At 55.3% G+C, this 21,697-nt stretch overlaps 1 protein-coding gene across 35 annotated transcripts in view, besides 6 other annotated features; it reads left to right on the top strand.

Annotated features, from left to right (window-relative positions):
• The window catches only part of PTPRF (protein tyrosine phosphatase receptor type F), a 101,616-nt gene that overhangs the window by 30,797 nt on the left and 49,122 nt on the right, over nucleotides 1-21,697 (top strand). For all 35 annotated transcript variants that reach the window (XM_011541873.3, XM_011541871.4, XM_011541872.4 and 32 more), the window contains 3 exons: nucleotides 645-790; nucleotides 953-1,094; nucleotides 16,743-16,931. In XM_011541873.3, the coding sequence (XP_011540175.1) occupies nucleotides 645-790; nucleotides 953-1,094; nucleotides 16,743-16,931 (477 nt within the window). The remainder of the gene's footprint in view (nucleotides 1-644; nucleotides 791-952; nucleotides 1,095-16,742; nucleotides 16,932-21,697) is intronic.
• Nucleotides 4,351-4,928: an enhancer, noted in NCBI's record as "H3K27ac-H3K4me1 hESC enhancer chr1:44022869-44023446 (GRCh37/hg19 assembly coordinates)". NCBI's record gives its function as "activates a minimal SCP1, AML or CMV promoter by ChIP-STARR-seq in naive H9 embryonic stem cells {active_cell/tissue: H9 hESC(naive)}" and the evidence as "EXISTENCE:reporter gene assay evidence [ECO:0000049][PMID:30033119]".
• Nucleotides 4,929-5,506: an enhancer, noted in NCBI's record as "H3K27ac-H3K4me1 hESC enhancer chr1:44023447-44024024 (GRCh37/hg19 assembly coordinates)". NCBI's record gives its function as "activates a minimal SCP1, AML or CMV promoter by ChIP-STARR-seq in naive H9 embryonic stem cells {active_cell/tissue: H9 hESC(naive)}" and the evidence as "EXISTENCE:reporter gene assay evidence [ECO:0000049][PMID:30033119]".
• Nucleotides 7,819-8,396: an enhancer, noted in NCBI's record as "H3K27ac-H3K4me1 hESC enhancer chr1:44026337-44026914 (GRCh37/hg19 assembly coordinates)". NCBI's record gives its function as "activates a minimal SCP1, AML or CMV promoter by ChIP-STARR-seq in primed H9 embryonic stem cells {active_cell/tissue: H9 hESC(primed)}" and the evidence as "EXISTENCE:reporter gene assay evidence [ECO:0000049][PMID:30033119]".
• Nucleotides 12,252-13,047: an enhancer, noted in NCBI's record as "H3K27ac-H3K4me1 hESC enhancer chr1:44030770-44031565 (GRCh37/hg19 assembly coordinates)". NCBI's record gives its function as "activates a minimal SCP1, AML or CMV promoter by ChIP-STARR-seq in naive H9 embryonic stem cells {active_cell/tissue: H9 hESC(naive)}" and the evidence as "EXISTENCE:reporter gene assay evidence [ECO:0000049][PMID:30033119]".
• Nucleotides 12,892-13,041: a silencer, noted in NCBI's record as "silent region_787". NCBI's record gives its function as "represses an Ori minimal core promoter by ATAC-STARR-seq in GM12878 lymphoblastoid cells {active_cell/tissue: GM12878}" and the evidence as "EXISTENCE:reporter gene assay evidence [ECO:0000049][PMID:35858748]".
• Nucleotides 19,965-20,466: an enhancer, noted in NCBI's record as "H3K4me1 hESC enhancer chr1:44038483-44038984 (GRCh37/hg19 assembly coordinates)". NCBI's record gives its function as "activates a minimal SCP1, AML or CMV promoter by ChIP-STARR-seq in primed H9 embryonic stem cells {active_cell/tissue: H9 hESC(primed)}" and the evidence as "EXISTENCE:reporter gene assay evidence [ECO:0000049][PMID:30033119]".

Raw genomic sequence — 21,697 nt, forward strand, 5'->3', positions numbered from 1 at the left:
AGGCAATAACTAAGTCGGGGGGGAGGGATGGGAGAGGCAGATTTACAGGAAAGCATTCACCTGGGAAGATATCCAGAGAGACTTAGGAACTGGACTGTCTAGGCCTTTGGGACTGCTGCTGGTATGTGGGGGCTGGGAGAGAGGGAGGAGTCTCGGTTCCTGGCCGGAGCCCCGGGGTGGATGGTGGTGCCATCACTGAGATGGAGAGCAGGGGGAGGGACAACTCTCAGGGAGAGCTGGAGCTCTTCCCAGCAGCTCTCCAGCACGCCTTTTTCCTGGAGCTTGGAATTGATGTGGGGCGGGCAACAGAAGGGTGCAGTGGTAGTGTGAACTCCAGACTTGGAACACCTGGGTTCAGATCTTAGCTCTACCACTTACCAGCTGTGTCATATGGGACAAATCCCTTAACCTCTCTGGGCCTCTAGAAACAGATACAGTTATAGCACTCACCTCATATGCTTAACAGAGTTAAAAAATGTTAAACTCTCTGAACAGTGCCTGGCACATACTAAGCGCTACATAAAGGTGAGGTGTCCTTGTTTTCTTTGTAGGTCTTTCTCTCTGCCCCCATGACTGCCACCTTCCTCACTGGCCATTCCTATAGTGACTGTGCTGTGGTGACTTGGTGTCTCCATCTCTTCCAGGCAAACCTGTCTTCATTAAAGTCCCTGAGGACCAGACTGGGCTGTCAGGAGGGGTAGCCTCCTTCGTGTGCCAAGCTACAGGAGAACCCAAGCCGCGCATCACATGGATGAAGAAGGGGAAGAAAGTCAGCTCCCAGCGCTTCGAGGTGCGTCTGTGGTGGGAAGGGGTCGGCAGGGCTCAGGGTCTGCCCACACTCTCTCCTTTCAGTGTCCCTCCTCATGGACCTTTTGGAGGTGGGAGGACAACTGACCCTGAGCAGGCTCCTGTGTCCTGAGTAGGCTGTGACCCCATGTCTGTCCTCTGACAGGTCATTGAGTTTGATGATGGGGCAGGGTCAGTGCTTCGGATCCAGCCATTGCGGGTGCAGCGAGATGAAGCCATCTATGAGTGTACAGCTACTAACAGCCTGGGTGAGATCAACACTAGTGCCAAGCTCTCAGTGCTCGAAGGTACGTGCTAGGGAGACGTGGCACGGTGGGCTGCCGGGCTGAGGCGTGGGAAGAGCCAGCCAGCCCTGATCCTGTCCTGGGCCCATGTGCATTTGGCAGAAAGGAGGACTGGCCACCTCGGGGTCAGTGAAAGTCAGTGGTGGACAGGGATAGTCATTGGATCTGGCCTGGATTGTGCGGCTTATGCTGAGGCCAGCCATGTGGGGCATGATGCCTTTGTATTCTCCTGCTGAGCCGGGTCGTTGGTTGGGTGGGGTCTGGGGTCTGACTTGAGGTGTGGAGCTGCAGCTGTGTATCCCTTGGGTTACGTGGTTATGGCTGTGGCTGTTTGGCAGTGAACCGGATTTCCATGTGGAGCCTGGCCGTAGGTGTCAGGCAGGTGTGTTCCTTGTTGCCCCTGTGAGCTGAGGGCTGGGGCTCTGTCCGTGGATTTTAGTGTCTTCTCTCACTTGGTGGCTTCTCCATTCATTCACAAACACTCCCTGGACCACCTTGAAGTCCTCTGAGCACCGAGGAGGAGGAAGCTGTGTCTAAGCCAAGTCTTGAGGACAGGTGGGAGTTGGGGGTGGCAGTTGGCAGCTAGGCAGGTGCCCAGGCCCAGAAGCAAGAGAGGATGGAGCTTTCAGAGAGCTCTGAGTAGTTCAATTTGGGTTTTCTGGAGGGCAGAGGGGGAGCTAGAGAGCACAGGAAGAAGGAGAAAGCAATTCAGCATGAGTCTGGAGAGGTTTGGAGGGCAGATTACACAGGATCTGGCTGAGAAATGAACACTCTCCTAGGGACATAGGAAGCCACAAACAAGGCGGGGGTGACATGATCAGACCCCAGCCACAACTGATTCATCAGTCTGAATGTGTTTATGTTTTCAAAATATAGCATCGATTGTTGCTTGCTTTTTTTTCTTTTCTTTCTTTCTTTCTTTTTTTTTTTTTGAGATGCAGTCTCACTCTTGTTGCCCAGGCTGGAGTGCAATGGTGTGATCTCAGCTCACTGCAACCTCTGCCTCCCGGGTTCAAGCGATTCTCCTGCCCGGCCTCCCAAGTAGCTGGGATTACAGGCATGCGCCACCATGCCTGGCTAATTTTGTATTATTAGTAGAGATGGAGTTTTACCATGTTGGTCAGGCTGGTCTCAAACTCCTGACCTCAGGTGATCCGCCTGCCTCAGCCTCCCAAACTGCTGGGATTACAGGTGTGAGCCACCGCACCCGGGCCGATTGTTGCTTTCTTTTTAAGAATGTGATGTCGATACCTGTTCCTTTTTGAAAAATTGGAAAGTATAGAATAGCACAGAGGAAAAAATTAAAATGTCTCAGTTTACCTCTAGTAATAACATTTGGTTACTTACTCGTGGCCCATTTTCTGTGCATACATATATATGTGTGTGTGTGAACAGAAATGGGACCACATACTGTCCGATGATTTGTAGACTGCTTTAAAAACAAACAAAAAAAAATATGGCTAACATCTTCCTTGCCACTAAATATTCTTCTGTATCATTATTCTTTTTTTTTTTTTTTTTTTTTGAGACGGAGTCTAGCTCTGTCACCCAGCCTGGAGTCCCGTGGTGCCATCTTGGCTCACTGCAGCCTCTGCCTCCTGGGTTCAAGCGATTCTCCTGGCTCAGCCTCCCGAGTAGCTGGGACTACAGGTGCGCACCACCACTCGTGACTAATTTTTGTATTTTTAGTAAAGACGGGGTTTCACCATATTGAACAGGCTGGTCTGGAACTCCTGACCTCGTGATCCGCCCACCTTGGCCTCCCAAAGTGCTGGGATTACAGGCGTGAGCCACCACGTCCAGCCTGTATCATTATCCTTAATGGCTATGGGTAAGCTGTCACATGCAAGTACCCTAATTTATTTAGCCATTCCCTTATTGTTGGACACATATGTTCTCAGTTTTTTCGTTTCTATAAATAAGGTGCCATACACGTCGTTGCAGATGGATGTGTTCACCTTCCTGATTATTCCCTTATTCTAGGTTCATGGAAGTGGAATTGCTGAGTCAAAGGGCACATGCATTTTTAAGCCTTTTGATATTTCCAGAAGATTGTGTCAATTCATACTCCTGCCAAGCAGGGCAGAAGAGGGCCTCTTTCCTGCACATCTTCCCCACTGTTGGGAAATATCTTCAAAAAAATATTTTTTGCCAAGTTAATAGGCAAAAAATGGCATCTCAATTTAATTTGCATTTCTTTGATTACAAGAACAGCTGCACATGTTTTCACATTGGCCATTTTTACGCTGTGGCTTTATCTGTTCACACACACATCTCCATTCAGTTACTCTTTTTGTTGTTGTTGTTGTTGTTTGGTTTTGGGGGGTTTTTTAGTTTTGTTTGAGACAGAGTCTCACTCTGTTGCCAGGCTGGAGTGCAGTGGTGAGATCTCGGCTCACTGCAACCTCCACCTCCCGAGTTCAAGTGATTGTCCTGCCTCAGCCTCCCAAGTAGCTGGGACTACTGGCAGGTGCCACCACGCCCAGCTAATGTTTGTATTTTTAGTAGAGACGGGGTTTCACCATGTTGGCCAGGCTGGTCTCGAACTCCTGACCTCGCCCGCCTTGGCCTCCCAAAGTGCTGGGATTACAGGCCTGAGGCACTGCGTCCAGTGTCGGTTACTGTTTTGCATCTGTGTCTTGTATGAGTCCGTGGGCTCTACAAGCTTAGAGGAGCCATAGAGGACAGTGGTTAAGACTCTGGACCACTCACTTCTCGTGTGTCTTTGGGTTAGTAACTATGCCTCTGACCCTCATTTGCTCCATCTGTAAATGGATATAATGCCTACCACCCAAGCTGGTTTGGAAGATTGAATGCTGTGTATGAAGCGCTTCCCAGGAGTGTGGTGGTGGTTGCTGTGGGGCTGGAAGCTGTACATCTTGAGGCCTCACCACGTGAGCTGAAGGTGGTTGGCCTCCGTGCTGCGTGGCATCATCCGGGTGATGCAGCTCCACTGCCTGCTCCCACGGGGGGACATACCTGTGCAATAGGAACTCAGAGAACAGGCCCTGGGCCAGCATCACTGATTGCTGAGTGTTCTCAGGCTCCTCCCTGCCACTTCTGACCTGTTTCCCCACTCGTGACCTGGGGGCAAGTATTTCAATGCTGCCCAGTCCTCCTATTGGCAGCTGTCCTAGCAGGGAGCCATCTGCCCTGCCCTGGCATTTGGGAGGTGGCTGAAGGACCAGAGGCCCCAGAGGGCTTCTTTTCAGGCTCTCAGATTGGGGAACAGGGCCTCCTTGTTAGTATTGAAAGAGGAGTCCTTCAAAAGCGCCTAAGCCCCAGGTCCTGGGTCAGGAGCCCTCTTACCTCTGCCACTGCCCTGGGCAGCCTTACCTTTCAAAGGGTTGAGGAGGATGGAGGTGGTCTTTCAGGCCTGGGGTGAGGAGGACGGACTTCAGACTGACAGGAGGGGCTGGGTGTGGTGGCTCACGCCTGTAATCCCAGCACTTTGGGAGGCAGAGGCCTGCACATCACTTGAGGTCAGGAGTTCGAGACCAGCCTGGCCAACATGGCAAAACCCCATCTCTACCAAAAAATACAAAATTAACTGGGCGTGGTGGCGCACGCCTGTAGTCCCAGCTACTTGGGAGGCTGAGGCAGGAGAATTGCTTGAACCCAGGAGGAGGAGGTTGCAGTGAGCTGAGATTGCGCCACTGCACTCCAGCCTGGGCGACAGGAGACTCCATCTCAAAAAAAAAAAAAAAAAAGAGGACCTGCAGGAGGTGCCTCCGTTTGGTTTCTCTACCAGGGGCCAGCAGTATATGTTTGCGCTTCTGGGGTGTGAGAAGTGTCTGATGAGGCTGGGGAGAGTGTGGCGCAAGTACCCAGACCCTGTCCATGCTCCGGGGAAGGGTGTGGAGCTGTGGGCCTGAGTGAGCCCCTCCTGCTTCTGAAACATAGCACCAGGAAGACAAAATGCTGACTTATCCTGCTGGTCTGTATAACCTTGGCCAGCATTGGGCTTGACAGAAAGGCGTGCCGCAGGAGGGCCAGAGGGAAGCAGCCCAGAGGGTGAACACCCGCCCCCTGCCCCGCCTCACCCCACCCCTCCCCTCCCTCCTAGGAGGATCAAGAAAGCTGGGTGCCTGCAGGAACTGGGTGAAAGGATGGTTGGACTTGGACTGGAGCTCTGGGGTGGGGCCGGCAGGAGCCAGGGCCATTCTTGGGAGGCCACCACAGGGTACGAGGAGGGCTGGGGAGGGGATGGAGCTAGTTGGGGTCGGGGAAGTAAGAGTCCTTCCTGAGTTGCACACAGCTCTCCCTGTGAGCTGGTCTCCTTGGAGAATGGCTGAGGGCTGTCTGGGGTGAACTGGCTCAGGTGAAGATCAGTGTGCCCCCAAAAAGGAGTCCAGGCCTGCAGTCTGTTCTGTGCCCTCTGCCTTTGCCTCATGTCACACCAGGCCCAACTGCTGTGGCTCCAGGGCCACTCCCACCACAGCCCGTGGGAGTGCCCCCCCAAATCCCCCACAGCCGTGCCCTTTGCACCTCGCATCTGAGCAGGATTGTTATTCCCAGTGTGGCCTCCCCTTGACACCCCCGCCAGGACTGCATACGAGGTGGGGGTGCCCAGCACAAGCTGGCCGGGGTGAGCCTGTCCTGGCTGTGATGAGCGTGGGGCCCGCCGCCCAGCGTTCCTGTCTGAGTGGTAATTGAAGCCATTAGCGCGCCAGCCTCTCCCTCGCCGGGTAATGGCAGGAAAAGCTCTTCTCGCTCCGCACTCTTGAGGCGGCGGCTGAATCACTCCCCCTCCAACCCGCCCGCTGCCGCCACTGAGACAGGGAATCTGACATTTTCCCTCACCAGGGAGGGGGAGCCCTGGGGGAGGGGAGGGAGGCAGGCCTGGATTCCTGGCCTTTCCCTCCAGGAGGTTGAGGGGCAGTGAAGGTCTTGGAGCTCAGTCTGTAAGTCATGGATTCACCTGGGGCCGCAGATTTCAGGCCTGGAAGGACTGGCCGGGAAAGCCCAGGAGGCCGCCAGACATTCAGTGGTGTGGGGAGGGCACTGATGACTTTGGGTAGGTTCTGGGAGGGACAAGGAGGCGGGGAGAAGAAAGAAGCTGTGGAGCAGAGATGAGCTGTTTTGGACTTCTCCTGGGGGGCTTAGCTCCAAGGGTTCTGAGTACAGGTAGCATTACTTGTCTTGGGGTCATTGATAGGGCAGATAACGTGCACTGTTCGTGTGGTGTGGGTGCCCTGTGTGCCATGTTTAAGGCAGTGTTTGTGTGAAGTGTGTGGTGCAGTGTGTGCAGCAGGGGTGCTGCCTTGCAAGCTGTGCGCACAGAACGGGGTGTGCAGCGGTCAGCGCACACGTTACCATCAGGCAGTGGGGAAGGGGCAGTGTGTGCAGGAGGCACTGCATGCTGTATGGGCTGTGTATGCAGCGCGCAGTGTTTGTGTGCACGTGTGTGCGTCAGGCAGTGCGTGGTGTGGTGGTAAGCAGGTAGTGAGTACCTTATGGGCTATGTATACAGCAAGGCATATGCATCAGGCAGTGTGTGGGCAGTAGGCAGTGTGTGTGTGTGTTATCAGGCAGTATATGTGTGCGGTGTGCCGTGCGGCAGGCTACCTGTGTTTATATCGGGTAGTGTGTGTGTGTTTATGTGCAGCAAGGGTGTGCAGTAGGTGTGCAGTAGACTGTGTGCAGCAGGCGTGTGTGTGTGTACAGCAGGTGGTGTGCAGCAGGCAGTGTGTGTATGTATCAGGCGGGGTGTGGTGTGTGTTTATGTGCAGCATGCGGCGAGTACTTTGTGTGGTGTACAGCAGGTGGTGTGCGGCAGGCTGTGTGTATGTATCAGGCTCTGTGTGTGTGTGTGTGTGTTTGTACAGCAGGTGGTGTGCAGCAGGCAGTGTGTTTATCAGGCAGTGTGTGGTGTGTGTGTGCATCTTTATGTGCAGCGAGTAGTTTGTGGGGTGTGCAGCAGGTGGTGTGTAGCAGGCTATGTATGTATCAGGCTGTGTGTGTGTGTGCGCGCGTGTGTACAGCAGGTGGTGTGTAGCAAGCTGTGTGTATGTGTCAGGCAGTGTGTTTATGTGTGTGTGTCCAGCAGGTGGTGTGTAGCAGGCTGTGTATGTATCAGGCAGTGTGTGTGTGCGCAGCGGGTAGTTTGCAGGGGTGTACAGCAAGCAGTGTGCATGGTATGTACAGCAGATGGTGTGCAGCAGGCAGTGTGTGTGTGTGTGTGTGTACAATAGGTGGCATGCAGTGGGCAGTGCATTTGTGTGCATGCAGCAGGCTGTGGTGTGTACAGCAGGTGGTGTGCAGCAGACTGTGTGTTTGTATGCATCAGGCCGTGTGTGTGTGCAGCAGGCAGTGTGTGTGTGTGTACATGCGCACACGCAACAGGCACTATATTTGTGCAGCAGGCCATGTGTGTGGTGCATACAGCAGGTGGTGTGCAGCAGGCTGTGTGCTTGTACATGCAGCACATAGTGTATGTGTGTTGATGTCAGACAATGCATGTGCATGTGTGTGGAGTGCACAGCAGGTGATGTGCAGCAGGCTGTGTGTGTAGGTGTGCCTCGGGAGTGTGTGGGGGTGGGAGTGGACAGCAGGTGGTGTGTGCCTTACAACCTGTGTGGGCAGCAGCAGGAGTGGGCAGCAAGCAGCCCGAGCTGAAGTGTGGTGGGGTCAGTCTGGCACTGGCAGGAGGTCGGAGATGCTGTGTCTGGGCTCATTGTCTCTGGGACCCCGCAGGATCCCTGTTTGGAGCTGTTGGTCCGCCAGGAAGTTCGACAGAGTTGGATGTGGCCAGAATGGTCTGGCTGAGCTGTTCTCAGCACCTGTTGTGGTCGACCTCAGCAGCTCCTCTGTAGCCAGGCCAGGAGGTGGGGTGCACCAGATAGGGATCCTGCCCAGACCTGCCTGCAGGAGGTCTTGGGACCCTTTCCTCTCCCTCCCCTACCCCACCAAGCCCACAGTCCCTTCTGTCTGTTCCCACCTGGCCTCAGTGTCCAGCCAGCACCATACCACCTATGCCATGCGGGCCAGGGAATCCAGGTGTCTCGATGGAGTGCCTGGTGTTGCCAGCCTTGGAGCAGGCTCTGGGGAAGGGCTGTCCGGCACATGAAGTAGTGACCAGGGTGGGGGCTAATCAGTGCTGTACTGGGCTTGGACCTCTGGGTTCTGCAGGAGCTCTGACCCTGGCTGGCTTTGGGGCTCGTGGGATGACGAAGGACCTCTTGATATACCCCCTGACCACTCCACAACACAGTCCTTTTGGAAATAGCCCTAGAGACAGAGGGTCAATGATAGACATATGACCCTGTCCTGAGGTATCCTGGGCTGGGCTGGAACTGGAGCAGAGCTGGTGAGGGAGCTTACATTTGCAAGATGGGTACATGTGTGTTTTCTCAAGGAGTCATCTCTCCCTGCTCCACCTCCTTCCCTGCTCCAAACCTGTATATTCCTTCCACCCATGGTGGAATGACTTGGCCCAGGCCTGACTTTGATGGCTGGGGAGTTGGGTAAAGGGCTATTGCAGGCACAAGATGGCTTCCCAAGTGGCAAGATGTGATCCCTTTCTATTGTCTACATGTGTGTCTGGGGTAACAGTCTGCTTTGGCAGAAGCTGGGGCTGTCAACTACCTGATTTGCAGCACAGAGGATGTAGAAGTGGCCCCAGAACCTGGAACCCAAGCCAGCTTCTACCTCTCCCTTAGCAACTGAGGCATGACCTGTATACCCCTGGTCCAGCTGCTGTAGTCCTCTGTGACCTGTCCTTACACCCCCATGACTGCAGTAGATTTCAGATCCACGCAGACATGAGGTTCTACAATCATTTCCTGGAGGTTCTAGGCCTCAGGGATGGGGATGGGAGAGGTATTAAGTAAGTTCTCCTGTTTTTATTAGCTGTGATCTGCCTTGAGGCGCCCAAGTGGATTCCCTTCCGAATGGGTGCTCCTGTTTAGTAGGTGGTACTCCTGCCTCTTCTGTTAGCCATGGACACTGGGCACTTCCCCTGTGCCCAGCCTGCCCCCCTGCCCCTATACTCACAGGTACTTGTAAGGCCCACTGTACGTGTTCCCTAGCCTCATGACCACGGTGGAGCCAATGGCTCTGGGAACAGGCTCACCAGGATGGCGGTTTAAATGCCCAAATGCCCTGTGCATGCACATTCTCCATCCTTGGTAAGGTGCTCCCTCCTACTGGTTTGCTTGCTGGGGAGAGAGGACTTGTTTTTTTTTTTGAGATGGTGTCTGACTCTGTGGCCCAGACTGGAGTGCGGTGGCACAATCTCAGCTCACTGCAACTTCCGCCTCCCGGGTTCAGATGATTCTCCTGCCTCAGCCTTCCGAGCAGCTGGGACTACAGGCACGCGCCACCACACCTGACTAATTTTTTGTATTTTTAGTAGAGATGGGGTTTCACCGTGTTAGCCAGGATGGTCTTGACCTCCTGACCTCATGATCCACCCGCCTCAGCCTCCCAAAGTGCTGGGATTATAGGCGTGAGCCACCGCGCCTGGCCCTGAGAGGACTTTTTTGAAACGGAGTCTCACTCTGCCACCCAGGCTGGAGTGCAGTGGCGTGATCTCGGCTCACTGCAACCTCTGCCTCCTGGGTTGAAGCAATTCTCATGTCTCAGCCTCCCGAATAGCTTGGGATTACAGGCATGGACCACCACGCCCGGCTAATTTTTTGTATTTTTAGTAGAGATGGGGTTTCACGAAACATGTTGGCCAGGCTGGTCTTGAACTCCTGACCTCAAGTGATTTGCCCGTTTTGGCCTCCCAGAGTGCTGGGATTACAGGCATGAGCCACTGCTCCTGGCCAAATTTTAATCAGAGCAATGACGTGATCAAACTTAAGCTTCAGAAAGGTCCGTGTGGGTGCATAGTGGGGGCTGGAAGGAAACCAATGACAGGTTGTTGCAGTCCAGGTGAGTGATGGCATTGGCGCAAATCTGGGTATGGGTAGGGGAAGATAGGGGAGCAGATCACTAGAAGGTTAGAAAGAGGCCGGGCACGGTGGATCATGCCTATAATCCCAGCGCTTTGGGAGGCCAAGGTGGGCAGATCACTTGAGGTCGGGAGTTCGAGACCAGCCTGGCCAACATAGTGAAACCCCGTCTCTACTAAAACTGTAAAAATTAGCTGGGTGTGGTGGCAGGAGCCTGTAATCCCAGCTACTCTGGAGGCTGAGGCATAAGAATTGCTTGAACCCGGGAGGCAGAGGTTGCAGTGATATGAGATGGCGCCACTGCACTTCAGCCTAGGCGACCAAGCGAGACTCCATCTCAAAAAAAAAAAAAAAAATAAGATTAGAAAGAGTAGAGGCCTGCCTGGCTACCTGTAGGATTGGGGAGGTGCAAGGCTCCAGGTTCCTGGCTCTGGGGCTGGGTAGGTGGGGGTGCCATTTCTAAGATTCATGTACTAGAGGAGGACCAGGTTTGAGGAGGCGAGTTGGTGAGTCCAGTTAGAAATCTGTTGAGCCAGGTGTGCGCAGGCATCCAGGGAGGTGTCAAAGAGGCCTCGTACACATTTGCCTGGCACTCCGGGGGACATCTGAAGTTGGAATCTTACAGGCTGAGAAATAGCAAATCTCAGGAGGCCAGAGCCAGGACAGAAGGAGCCCCAGGAACCGACTCTCCATGTTGGGAGGAGGTTCCTGAGAGACTGGAGGGAAACTGGGAGTGTGTGAGGTCAAGAAATGCCAAGAGAAAAAAGTGTGCGAAGGAGGAGGAGTGGTCAGCAGGGCGGGGTGCTGCCGAGAGGCCCGGCATGTGTCCTTAACAGTTAGTTCCGTGGAGCCATTGTTGGCTTTGGTGTTGGGAGACAGCAGGGCTGAGAAGTGAGAGGGAGGCTATCAGTGTCTGTAGTGACTGGAAGGGCCCGAACCTAGGGAGTGAATGGATGACAAGAGTCTCCCTGGAGTAGGACTGAGGTTGGGGAGCCACTGAAGGAGAGTCCAGTGTGGGCCCGAGTCTGGAACTCCAGTGTGGGTCGGGTGTATGCGCAGGGCATGGCCCCTGGGTTCTTGTGGTGGGGAGGCCTCAACTGGGTTGAGTAGGGCGATGTGGGGTGCCAGGGAAACCCGAGGAAGGAGGGGATGACTGGGAGGGGGACGCCGTGCCTGCCAACAGGCCCCAAACAGCTCAGATTGAAAAACAAAACAGGCTTTTAAGATGCCAAGTTTGATGAAATCTGAGTGCTGGAAGAGGTGGGAGTTTGCTCTTGGAAAAACAGCTGAAAATCGAGACTCAAAGCTGCGAAGGGAGATGGGCCCAAGGCTCCCCAGGCCCCCCTTACTGCCTGGAAGCCTGGGGGTGGGGCTGGGCTCTCTGGGAGAGTGTGGGAGCGTGCAGATCTGGCAGCCTTCGACTTTTGGAAGGCGTCTGGCTCTGGCCCTGCTGAGGATGGAGCTGCTGGAGGTGGCCTTGGCTTCTGTGGAGCGGCTGAAGGGCAGGGGGAGCCAGCAGCCCTGCCACCTACGAGGTTCCTTCATGTGTCTCGTCCCTGCATGTGTCTCCAGGCGCACGTGTTTTGGCATAGGTGTGTCTGGCTGTGCATGTCTCCACATGTGTGTTTGCGTGTCTCTGTGTGCACCGCCTCTGGATCTGCTTGCATGCGCCTGTTTCCACAGGTGCTAGTCACTGCAGGTGCCCCTCCACATGCACATGTAGGTTTCTATTTTTACACCTGTCTGTTTCTCCATGTATATTTCTGTGGGTTCCTGGCTGTGCATGTTTCTATGGTGTCTGTGTGTTGAGAGGCAGGGTGAGGCCAGGCCCAACACTCAAGCTTAGGGGAGGCGGTCAGGCTCACAGACGGTGCCACCCCAGGGGGCCTGTGTCTGTGTGTGCGGGTGCGTGCCTGCGTTTGCACGGAGACGCCACGAAGCTGGGTAAACATGGGTGAAAAGGTCATACTGACAGACGGTGCTGCCTGCCCCAGGACCCTGCAAGGCGTCTCCATCTGTCAGCTTCCCTGGTGCAGCCCCCTCCCTCTGGCCCAGAGACTCACCCTCAGGCGTCCAAGGCTGAGCTGGACAAAGAGACCTGTGTGTACTTTGTAGGGGGCCTCAGCAGCCTCCACCCCCATCTTAGGCTCCTCTGTCAGGACCCCAACACATGCCCCAGCTCCCACCAGACTCGCCTTGGTACTGTCATCCCACCACCTTCCCCCACAACAGCCTTTACAAAGGCAGTTTTCCCCTCCTCCCTGGAAAGCTTTCTGCCTCCCATGCTCATGTGTTTCCTGTTCTTGAATCTCCCTCCTCCAGGAAGCCACCAAGATAGCAAGTGAGCTGTGGAGTCAAACCGATCAGCTCCAACACTGCTGTGGGAGGTTAGCCAAGCGCTCATCCACTTCTGAACCTTGGATTCCCACCATCGACCCCCGACCCTCCCCTCGCTAGGGCTTGTCATCGTCTTCTGCCCATGGGGCAACCAAACCTCTCCACGGAAGGGGACAGGTCTCCTTGCTGCAGTGGGTAAAGGCCAGCGCAGTTAGGTGCAGGAGGCATTCACACACACGTGCACACTCCCCACCTTGCACACATATCTGCGTGAGCCGGGGAGACCCTAGGGAATGTGTGTGCATGTTGTCTATGCATGCGGGTAGAATCCGCAAACGGTGTGGAGACTCGGGCTCTTGGGTACCTCTGAAGGCCCCTGAAGTCCCCATGGGCTTCTCCTTCCGTCCAGGGCACCCTCTTATCAGGCCATGGCCCTGAGACGCGTAGTGCAGACGCCCCCGGCGCTGAGGCTGAGGAGGCAGATGGCCCCTCCCCGCACTGTGCAGGGCACCCGGTTGGGGGTGGAGGGGAGGGCCGCGTCGGTGAAGCGGGAAAGCCTAGTGGGAGGATTCCCTGGAGCTGAGGAGCCGGGGCCTGGGAAGGGGCGCAGAGGCTCCACCCAGGCGGGGGCGGGAAGGGCGGTGCCAGGGCGGACAGCGGACGCGCGCGCCTGCACGGACTCGGGCACACGCAGCCCTTCCGCGGCAGCGCCCGCCGCTCCACCGTCGCCATGGCTACCGGCTGGCCTGGAGCGGGGAGGGGCCCTTCCTCCCCTTCGGCGCCAACAGGAGGCGATTTGAGGGGACTCAGCGTGACTGGTGCATCCCGGGGTTGGAAAATGGGTGGGTGCTTGCGACTGTCCACGTGTGGGGGACCCTGGGGTTCGCTTTGCGGTAGATGCAAACGCCGCGGCGCGTGTGCGGGGCTCTGCAGTGGAGCCTGAGCCGTGCCGGCCGAGGCGTGGTGTGGGGGAGGCTGCCGGCCCTCTCGCGCGCGGGGTGTTCACGCCTAGAGCGCTGGGGCTGGGGGCCTACCACCCGGTCTCCTCCCAGCCCCACCTCCGATTTAGCTGTGTGACCTTGGGCAGGTGTCCAGATGTCTAGATCTCTCTCAGCCCCTGGTTGCCCATGTACCTCATAAGGGTTTGGTAAAGATTTAAGTCATTTTGTAAAGCATTTTAACATAGTACCTGGAACCTAGTAAATGCTTCATAAATCTTACTGTCCCTCATACCTGGGTCTCAGTTTTCCCAGTTGTTGATGGGTTTGGAGTGATCATGTGACATCATCTGAGGAGTTGCCCAGGTCCTCAGCCTGAGTGTTGAGGCTGCGGTAGACCCAGCTTCCGCGGGTGCCCGTGGGGGAAGGTGGTAAGTGTGCCAGTCTGGCTGATAGATCAGTTTACACCAGGATGCCCAGTGCTCAGCCAGGCCAGGCGCATGGTGGGCGTCAGGAAAGGGCTGCTGTACTTGGCTGAGTTGAATGTTCAGAGGCGCCTGGATGGGAGAGAAGGAAGAGGCAGCAGCAAGTCGCTCCTGAGGGGCTGGAGCCCTCCTGTAAGACCCACTTCCCTTCCCGGGTGGCAGAGTGGCAGACTTCCGAGTGCTGCCTAGAAGCCTAGTTGGCACAGGGGACTGGCTTTTGGGTCCCGCTGTTTTATGGACAGCTCTCCACACATTCTGGTTTTAGGCTCTGGCGGCAGTGCCTGAGGGATGATCTGAGCCAAGGACAGAGCCACTGAGGGCGTGATAATTGAGGGAGGAAAATTAATTGTCCTTAATTTGGCGTAAATCCCAAAGACCTTCCTCGTGTAAGGAATTCAGAGTAGATTCCGAGACACAGGGCTGCACACATTTGTACTTCCCTTCCCTTCCCTATCTGCGGGTGGAGATGAAGGCCACTTGACTCCTGGGCCCTGACTCTGGCAGGCCATGGCCACGTCTTCCCCATGAGCTGGGCAGGTAGGAATGAGGTCTTGAAAGAGTTAGACTGGTGCTCTGGAGGGCACCCAGGATGGCCCTAGCAGCCCCGAGTGTCCCCAGGTGTTGGGGAGGTGAGCCCTGCACCTCTGGTCCCCCTCAGGCCTTCCTATGGAAGCAAGCAGCAGCTGGGCCAAAGGAGGCTGATCCCCTGCCTGGTGCATCTCAGTCCTCTTCATTTCCGTCCTCCTTCCCTTCTCTTGCCACTGTTGAACATTTTACTTTTAAAAATCTGAAAGGGCACTGTGGGATCATATTTACAGCCAAGGAGACACTGGGTTTATATCCAGAACTTCTAGGGCTGCAGGTGGGGAAACGTACAGCCAGGTCCCAGGAAAGGCTGGGGCGGCAAGGCCGTGCTGGGAATCCTATTGCTCTCTAGCCTGAGACCTCTGCTCCTCATGGGCCACAGTCCCTTTGGGATGTCCCTGGCAGCTAGAGCCTTGGGGAGCATCCCCTGGGACTGGCAGCAGATAGATAGGTATCTTGCTCCTGCCTGTTGGGGCTCGTCCAACTCCCTCTTCTACCCGCCCCCCAGTCGCTCTCCCTGGGTCTCCAAGAGGCTCCAGGGAGGGCTAGTTTCTGCCAGCCTTTACCTTCTTCATGTCTGAGGATGCCATGTGCCTTTACTCTGGCATAGAAGCCTGACTTCCCTTGGCACATGTTCCCATACACCCATCTTGTGCTGGGCTTGTGGAAAGGAGGTAGAGTGGTGCTGGTCTCCCCCACCATGAGCCCAGCTCCCCGCCTTCCCCAGGAGACAGACAAAGAACACACATTCCCCTTGCCCCACATTGGGTGTGTCTGGCATCCACACTGGGAGAGACACTCTGCTGAGGCCTTGAAAATTGGTGGTTTGGGATGGGGCCTGGTGGCTCACAGCTGTAATCCCAGCACTTTGGGAGGCCGAGGCGGGTAGATCACCAGAGGTCAGAAGTTCGAGCCCAGCCTGGCCAACATGGTGAAACCCCGTCTCTACTAAAAATACAAAATTTGCCGGGCGTGGTGGTGGGCGCTTGTAATCCCAGCTACTCGGGAGGCTGAGACAGGAGAATTGCTTGAACCCAGGAGGCGGAGGTTGCGGTGAGCTGAGATCGCACCACTGCACTCCAGCCTGGGCAGCAGAGTGAGACTCCATCTCAAAAAAAAAAAAAAAGAAAAAGAAAATTGGTGGTTTGGTCCTAGTGGGAAGGGCCTCTCACCAGCCTAGAGTGGAAAAGGGAGTTCCCGACTCTAGTCTCAATACCTGTCTGCCCCAGTGGCTCAGCCCTTACTAGTTACACCAGCTAATATTCACTGGGAGTGAATTCCGCATCAGATGCTCCGCAACACCTTGCATGCATGATCAGATACAGACCTCACAGTAGCCTTACCATCAAGGTGGGCACTTGAACCCTGTGTACAGATAAAGGAGACAAAGAATGAGTAACATGCCAGGCCCTAAAGCTAGTTCGTGGTGAACGTGGGAGTCCCATTTGATCTATACTAGTCCTGAGCCTGTCCTGGACTTGTGCTTCCAAGGGGTGGAGAGTAGATAGCCTTGCCCTGCAGCCCCTCGGGGCTGATATGGGAGCCCATGTACAGTGGGAGTGGGTTTGCTGCTGACATCTGTTCCTCTTACTCTATGCTAGTGACTCCTCTGTGTGCCGCCAACCCCTAGCAAGCTGGGAGAAGGCAGCCAGGAGGGAGTTTTTTCTCCCCCTACCAACTTTTTGTGTCTTTAGAGCTTTTTTATCTCCTTTGCCTCCACACACTCAGGCATGGTCTGCAGCCCTGACCGTGACTCCCAGGGTCAGGACTAAGTGAGGGAGAAAGCTCAAGGTCAAGGCTGCAGTAACGAATAGGTCAAGGTCAGGATCGGAGTTAGAAGGGGATCATTGGTAGGGCTGGGGGTGCCCCGGGTCAGGGCTAGAGACCAGGCGGTGACCTGGGGCTCTGCCATGTGATAGAGCTGAAGGCTGGATGAAGGGAACACTGTGTGTGCGGACAGGGGAGAGGGGGCTGGACAGCACAGAGGCCTTCAGGCTGAGCTGTGGCTGTTGGATGCTGCGCGAGCTCCCTGCTAGCCCCCCCCCCCACCCCCTGCAGCCCCAGCATTCATGCAGTGCTTTCTGCTGTGACCAGCAGAGCATTGATTCTCGTTCTTCTCAGGGCCTGGAGAGATAAGTGCTGACGCCTTCAGTCTGAGGCGTTGCCTCTCAGACCTGGAAACTCCCTGACAGGGCAGGGGTGGGCCCCACTGCAGCCTCTGCCCTGCCAAAGAGACTTAGGACCCTGGTTCCTCAAATCGGGGTATGCTTCATGCTTAGAAGTCAAGGAAAGGGGAGGGGAGTCTTGAGGGCCCTGGCCAACCTGCAGTTGGGGAGGTTACCCCCAGAGGGGTCATAGGGGGCAGGCAGAGCCAGCCCTAATACACACATTGCTGTTTGTCTGCAGAGGAACAGCTGCCCCCTGGGTTCCCTTCCATCGACATGGGGCCTCAGCTGAAGGTGGTGGAGAAGGCACGCACAGCCACCATGCTATGTGCCGCAGGCGGAAATCCAGACCCTGAGATTTCTTGGTTCAAGGACTTCCTTCCTGTAGACCCTGCCACGAGCAACGGCCGCATCAAGCAGCTGCGTTCAGGTGAGCAGAGGGCAGGGGTCAAGGGGCCATGCAGACCTCAGAACAAGCGTCTTGTCAGATCCCAGCACAGCCTACTCCCTTGGGCCTGGGCACCTCCAGGGCTGAGCGGAGGGTACCTGGTGGGGTGGGCTGGGTCTTACTGCAGGTGTGCCTGGCTCAGGGAAGAGAGCTCGTGGTTGGCTGTGCCGTTACCTTCTTCGGATTGTCAGACTCCAGACTTTGGGCCAGTTCTGCCCCTCCCAGCACATGTGATGTGCCAGTGTGGTGGACTCTTCAAGGGTGCTCTATGGATGTTCACCCTCCTCCTTCCCTGTAGCCTGGCCTGAGACAGGGCCTGGATGATGCTTCTCTTTGCTTCCTCAGATGGCAGGGCTTAGCTGGGAAAAGAGGCTAAAGGTGCCTGATTCATCAGGCTTCAAAAGGCTGGATCTCAGGGGCCTGGAACTAAGGGGACTTGCTGTTGTCCCTCGACCACCAGAGCCACCTGTCTCCTCTGGATGTCTCCGTCGAGCCAGCTCGGAGCCCTGGGAGCAAGGATGCCATCGTGCAGGAGGGAGGTGTCACCCCATTGATCGATCTGCCTGTGAGGCTCCTGCCAGGATAATTGATTCAGTTTTTGTGGGAACAGAGCAGGCGGGAAAAGAGGCTCAGAATCAGCTTGGCTGCATTCTGCATCTGCTGCCAGCACGGCCTGGACCAATAGTCTTTGCTTCAGAAGCCCTCCTGCTAGCTATGGGATGGTTGGCCTCGGGCAGGATGGCCAGTGCCGGCCAGAGCCCCTTCTGCCTGTCAGTTGTGATGTCAATGATGAAAAGGAGGACATGACTCTTGCCCCTTTCAGGGGCCTGCAGGCTTCAGAGGTGCCCTCCCACTCCCTGGGATGCCAGCCCCTCCCCATCAATTCCCACCAGCCTCACAGCCCCTTGGTGCCCAGCAGGAGGAGGGAGAGACAAGCTGCCCAGCAGGGCAAGATTCTGGCCCCAGCCACGGCCGCCTGAGACAGCCCACGAAGTGTTAGCTCATTTAATTTAATTAAAACTCAACAAGATGGAGGCAGCTGTAGCGCAGTTAATTAAAACAGCCATAATCAAGGCAGCAAACGGCCGGCAGTGTTTGTGGCCGCTGCCCAGCGCAGCACAGCGGCCAGCACGGTTCGGCTCCTCTGCATTTTCTCATAGTTCCTCCAGGCAGGCTCCCCAAGCAGCCAGACGCTCCTCCCTGCTGGCCTGGGCCCCTCCACAGAACCACATGGACTTGTCTGGCAGCAGCTCTGGGAAGGCTCGCTCACACATTGGTTCATCTAGTATTTATATAGTGCTTGGGGTGCCCGGCCCTGGGCCACCCCTTCCTTGCCTATCACTCCACTGGATGCCACTCAGGCCCCATCCTCCTTGTCCTCTCGGCAGCAGCTAACATTCCTCCCTCCTTCCCAACCACACTCCCATTTTTCCCTAGCCTTTCAGGGCTCTGTCTCTTGCGACTTCCCTCTTCCTAGTGCCCCTTCCCTGCAGCAGCATCTTCCCTTCCACCAAGCCCTGCCTTTGCCCTATGGACACAGCCTTGCCCTGGACGAGCTCACCCCCTCCTAAAGCTCCAACTGCCATCTCCTCACCTGCAACTCTAGCTTTAGTCTTTCCAGCCCAAACCTCTTACCTGAGCTCTAGATCCAAAATTCGACCTGCCTTCTGGTCACCCTGACCAGTGGTGATCAGTGATGAGTGATGACCTTCTTTTCAGACAGCTGTACCCTCTTTCCATAAGTGGCACCCTCCAACCTGGAACATGGGTCTCAAGTTGGTTTGAGAGCTCTCAAATGTACCACCCTCGTGGCTCTCAAATTGGCCCCCTTCTCCCCTCCTGCTGCGTCAGTCCTATCCCAGGCACCAGACACTGCTTTCCCTGCCTCCGGGCCCTCCCGAGAATCCATCATCCTGTAGGTCAGGTTTGCTGCTCATACCTTCCTGTGCCTCAGTGGTGTCTCCTTGCCTACCTGGTCAAGTGACGCTCCCAAGCAAGGCTTAGAGGGCCCTTCTTGGTCTTCCCCTGCCCGTGTCTCATCGGGTCCTGGCTACACCACTTACCAGCTCTCTGGCATTGGTTAACTTTTTCGTGTGTCAGTTTTCTCATGTTTGAAAAGGAGTTACAGTAAGCAGTGAGTGAGTCAATGGCAGTCAAACCTTGAGTTGATGGCCTGGCCTCTGGTAAGGGCTTCATGGAGCTCTTTCTACTTTCTGTGCCCTTGACCCTCCTAACACTGAGCTGTGCTGACCCGTCCTTGGTCCTTGCCCACCTCCGGCCCTCTGCTCACCTTCCGGCTGCTCCACTTGAAAACCTCCACCCTGCTCAGCCTCTGGCTGCTGCCTCAGGCCTCACCTTGCTTTACATTGTCACCATCTGGCTCCAGTTCTGCTCAGCTAGGCCTTGCAGGGAGGGCCTGGGTCTGATCACACTTGGTGAGGTCAGCTGTAGGACAGGTCTTCTCTGAGCCCTTGTCAAGTGAATGATTTCATGAACTTGACCTTTGGCACTTGTCCCTGTAGGCTAATATCTGCTCTAATGTTCACTCCTCCTTCTGCTTTCCAGGTCCAAGGAAGACTTCCTTATTTGTCTTCCTGCCACCTGGAAGTTGTGACCTCAGGGTCGTGGGCCCAGGGTCCAGCTCCTGGGATGGAGCCAGATGGCACCTAAGGGGCCTCAACCATCCCACCTCTGCAGTAATAACTGGGCTCTCTCCCCTCCCTGCCTGACCTGGCCTGGGACCGTTGGCCTCAGTTGTTGCTGGCCTTATCCCATTACCATTTAGAAGGGTGCTAAGGCTATTCCGTGCACATTTTTCAGGGACAGCCCTTCATGGAGTGGACTCAGGCCCCTGAGCACTCAGCTGTTTACCGGGACCTTTACGGTTTACGCATCACCGACAGTTTACAACAGAGCTTTCCCCGCTTTTGTTGCAGCTGATTCTCTTGCAGCCCTGTGAAGTAGGACAGGCTGTGATTACCATGCCCCCTTCACAGCTGAGTTAAGGGAGTCACTTGGGGTCACACATCGAGACTCGGCCTAGGAGCTCCCCTGTGAGATCACCTCAGGACCTAGTATCACAATAGCAAACCTGGGGACCTGAGGAGCAGCTGGACCCTTCTGGGGCTTCAGAGCTGCACATTCCCAGCTTCTCCAGACCCCAGGCCCCCACTGACCAGTACCCAGAAGTCCTCCACCATCTGCAACCTGAGCCACAGCACATCTAACCAGGGCATGACCCCCCAAGTAGGAGCTGGACAGGAGGTAGCTGACGGCATGCGCTGCCCAGATGTGAGCTCTGCTCAGCAGGCCTTTTCTTCTCTGTAGTGATGTGACATGCTGCCAAAACCACCTCCTGGAGAATTGGAACTTGAGACCGGGGTAGGCCCAGGAGGAACAGGAACAAGCTTATAGAGTGGAAATGGAGTTGTGAGCAGGGGCTCAGAGCCCCTGCTGGGTCCTGAGAGGAGCTGTTGGCCTGCAGGCTGTGCCGAGCCTGGACAGGGCTTGAGGAGATTCCCGCACTCCTGCTGTGGCCTGAACATATGAGCTGCCATCCTTTGTCGTAGAGGACAGCCTAACTCACTAAGTCCATGTGCTCATCCAGAGAGCAGTCTCTTCCCCACCCCCAGCACCCTGAGGCGAAACCTGGGGGTCTTAAGAAGAGATGCAGCATCTGGCTGCAGGAGGAGGCCCGTGGGTGGGACGCAGAGGGCTTGCAGCCCCTCACCCTGCTGGCTGGCCCCAGCTCTGGCTGGAAGAGCCTGTCCCCACCCCACTCTGCTCTGCCATCTGCGGGGCCTGCCAGGAAGGCACACTGCCAGTGCATGCTCACAATTTCCCTTTGGCCCAGAGCTCCCTGGCACCTCTTGGACACGAATACACCCCTAAGGATGCTGACTTCTGGGCCCCTTCAGTCCCCCACACCCATCTTGTGAAATGGAAAAGTCAGATTCTCTGTTTGGTGGGGAAATTACTGTTAGATTCTTTCAGAATAGGTTAGGTTCTGGAAGAGCTGAGGCCAGGAGCGAGGGATGCCAGCCCTGGACCATATCCACTGCTCCCACCCCCACCAAGTCCTGGCGTGGATGACAGGAGATCAGCAATGTCAACTTTTTGGTCTCAGGACCTCTACTTGTAAATATCAGAGAACCTCAAAGAGGGTTTGCTTGTGTGGGTTCTTTTTTTTTTTTTTTTTTTTTTTTTTTTTTTTTTTTGAGACAGAGTTTCGCTCTTGGTACCTAGGCTGGAGTGCAATGGCGCGATCTCGGCTCATCGCAACCTCTGCCTCCCAGGTTCAAGCAATTCTCCTGCCTCATACTCCTGAGTAGCTGGGATTACAAGCATGAGTCACCACGCCTGGGTAATTTTGTATTTTTAGTAGAGACAGGGTTTCACCATGTTGGTCAGACTGGTCTTGAACTCCGAACCTCGGGTGATCCGCCCGCCTCAGCCTCCCAAAGTGCTGGGATTACAGGGGTGAGCCACCGTGCCCAGCCATTGTGTGGGTTATTTCTATTGATGTTTACCATATTAGATATTAAGACTGAGATTATTTTAAAATATTTATTAATGCATTTTAAAATAATAAAAACCTATTATATATTAGCATAAATAACATTTTTAAGGAAAAATAGTTATTTTTTTAAAACAAAAATATTTACCAAGAGGGACAACATTGGTTTACCCTTATTACAAATCTCTTTAATTTGGGACTTATATAGAAGGCAGCTGGATTTTCTAGCTAC

Source organism: Homo sapiens, chromosome 1, assembly GCF_000001405.40.
Source record: "Homo sapiens chromosome 1, GRCh38.p14 Primary Assembly".
Classification (NCBI taxonomy): domain Eukaryota; kingdom Metazoa; phylum Chordata; class Mammalia; order Primates; family Hominidae; genus Homo; species Homo sapiens.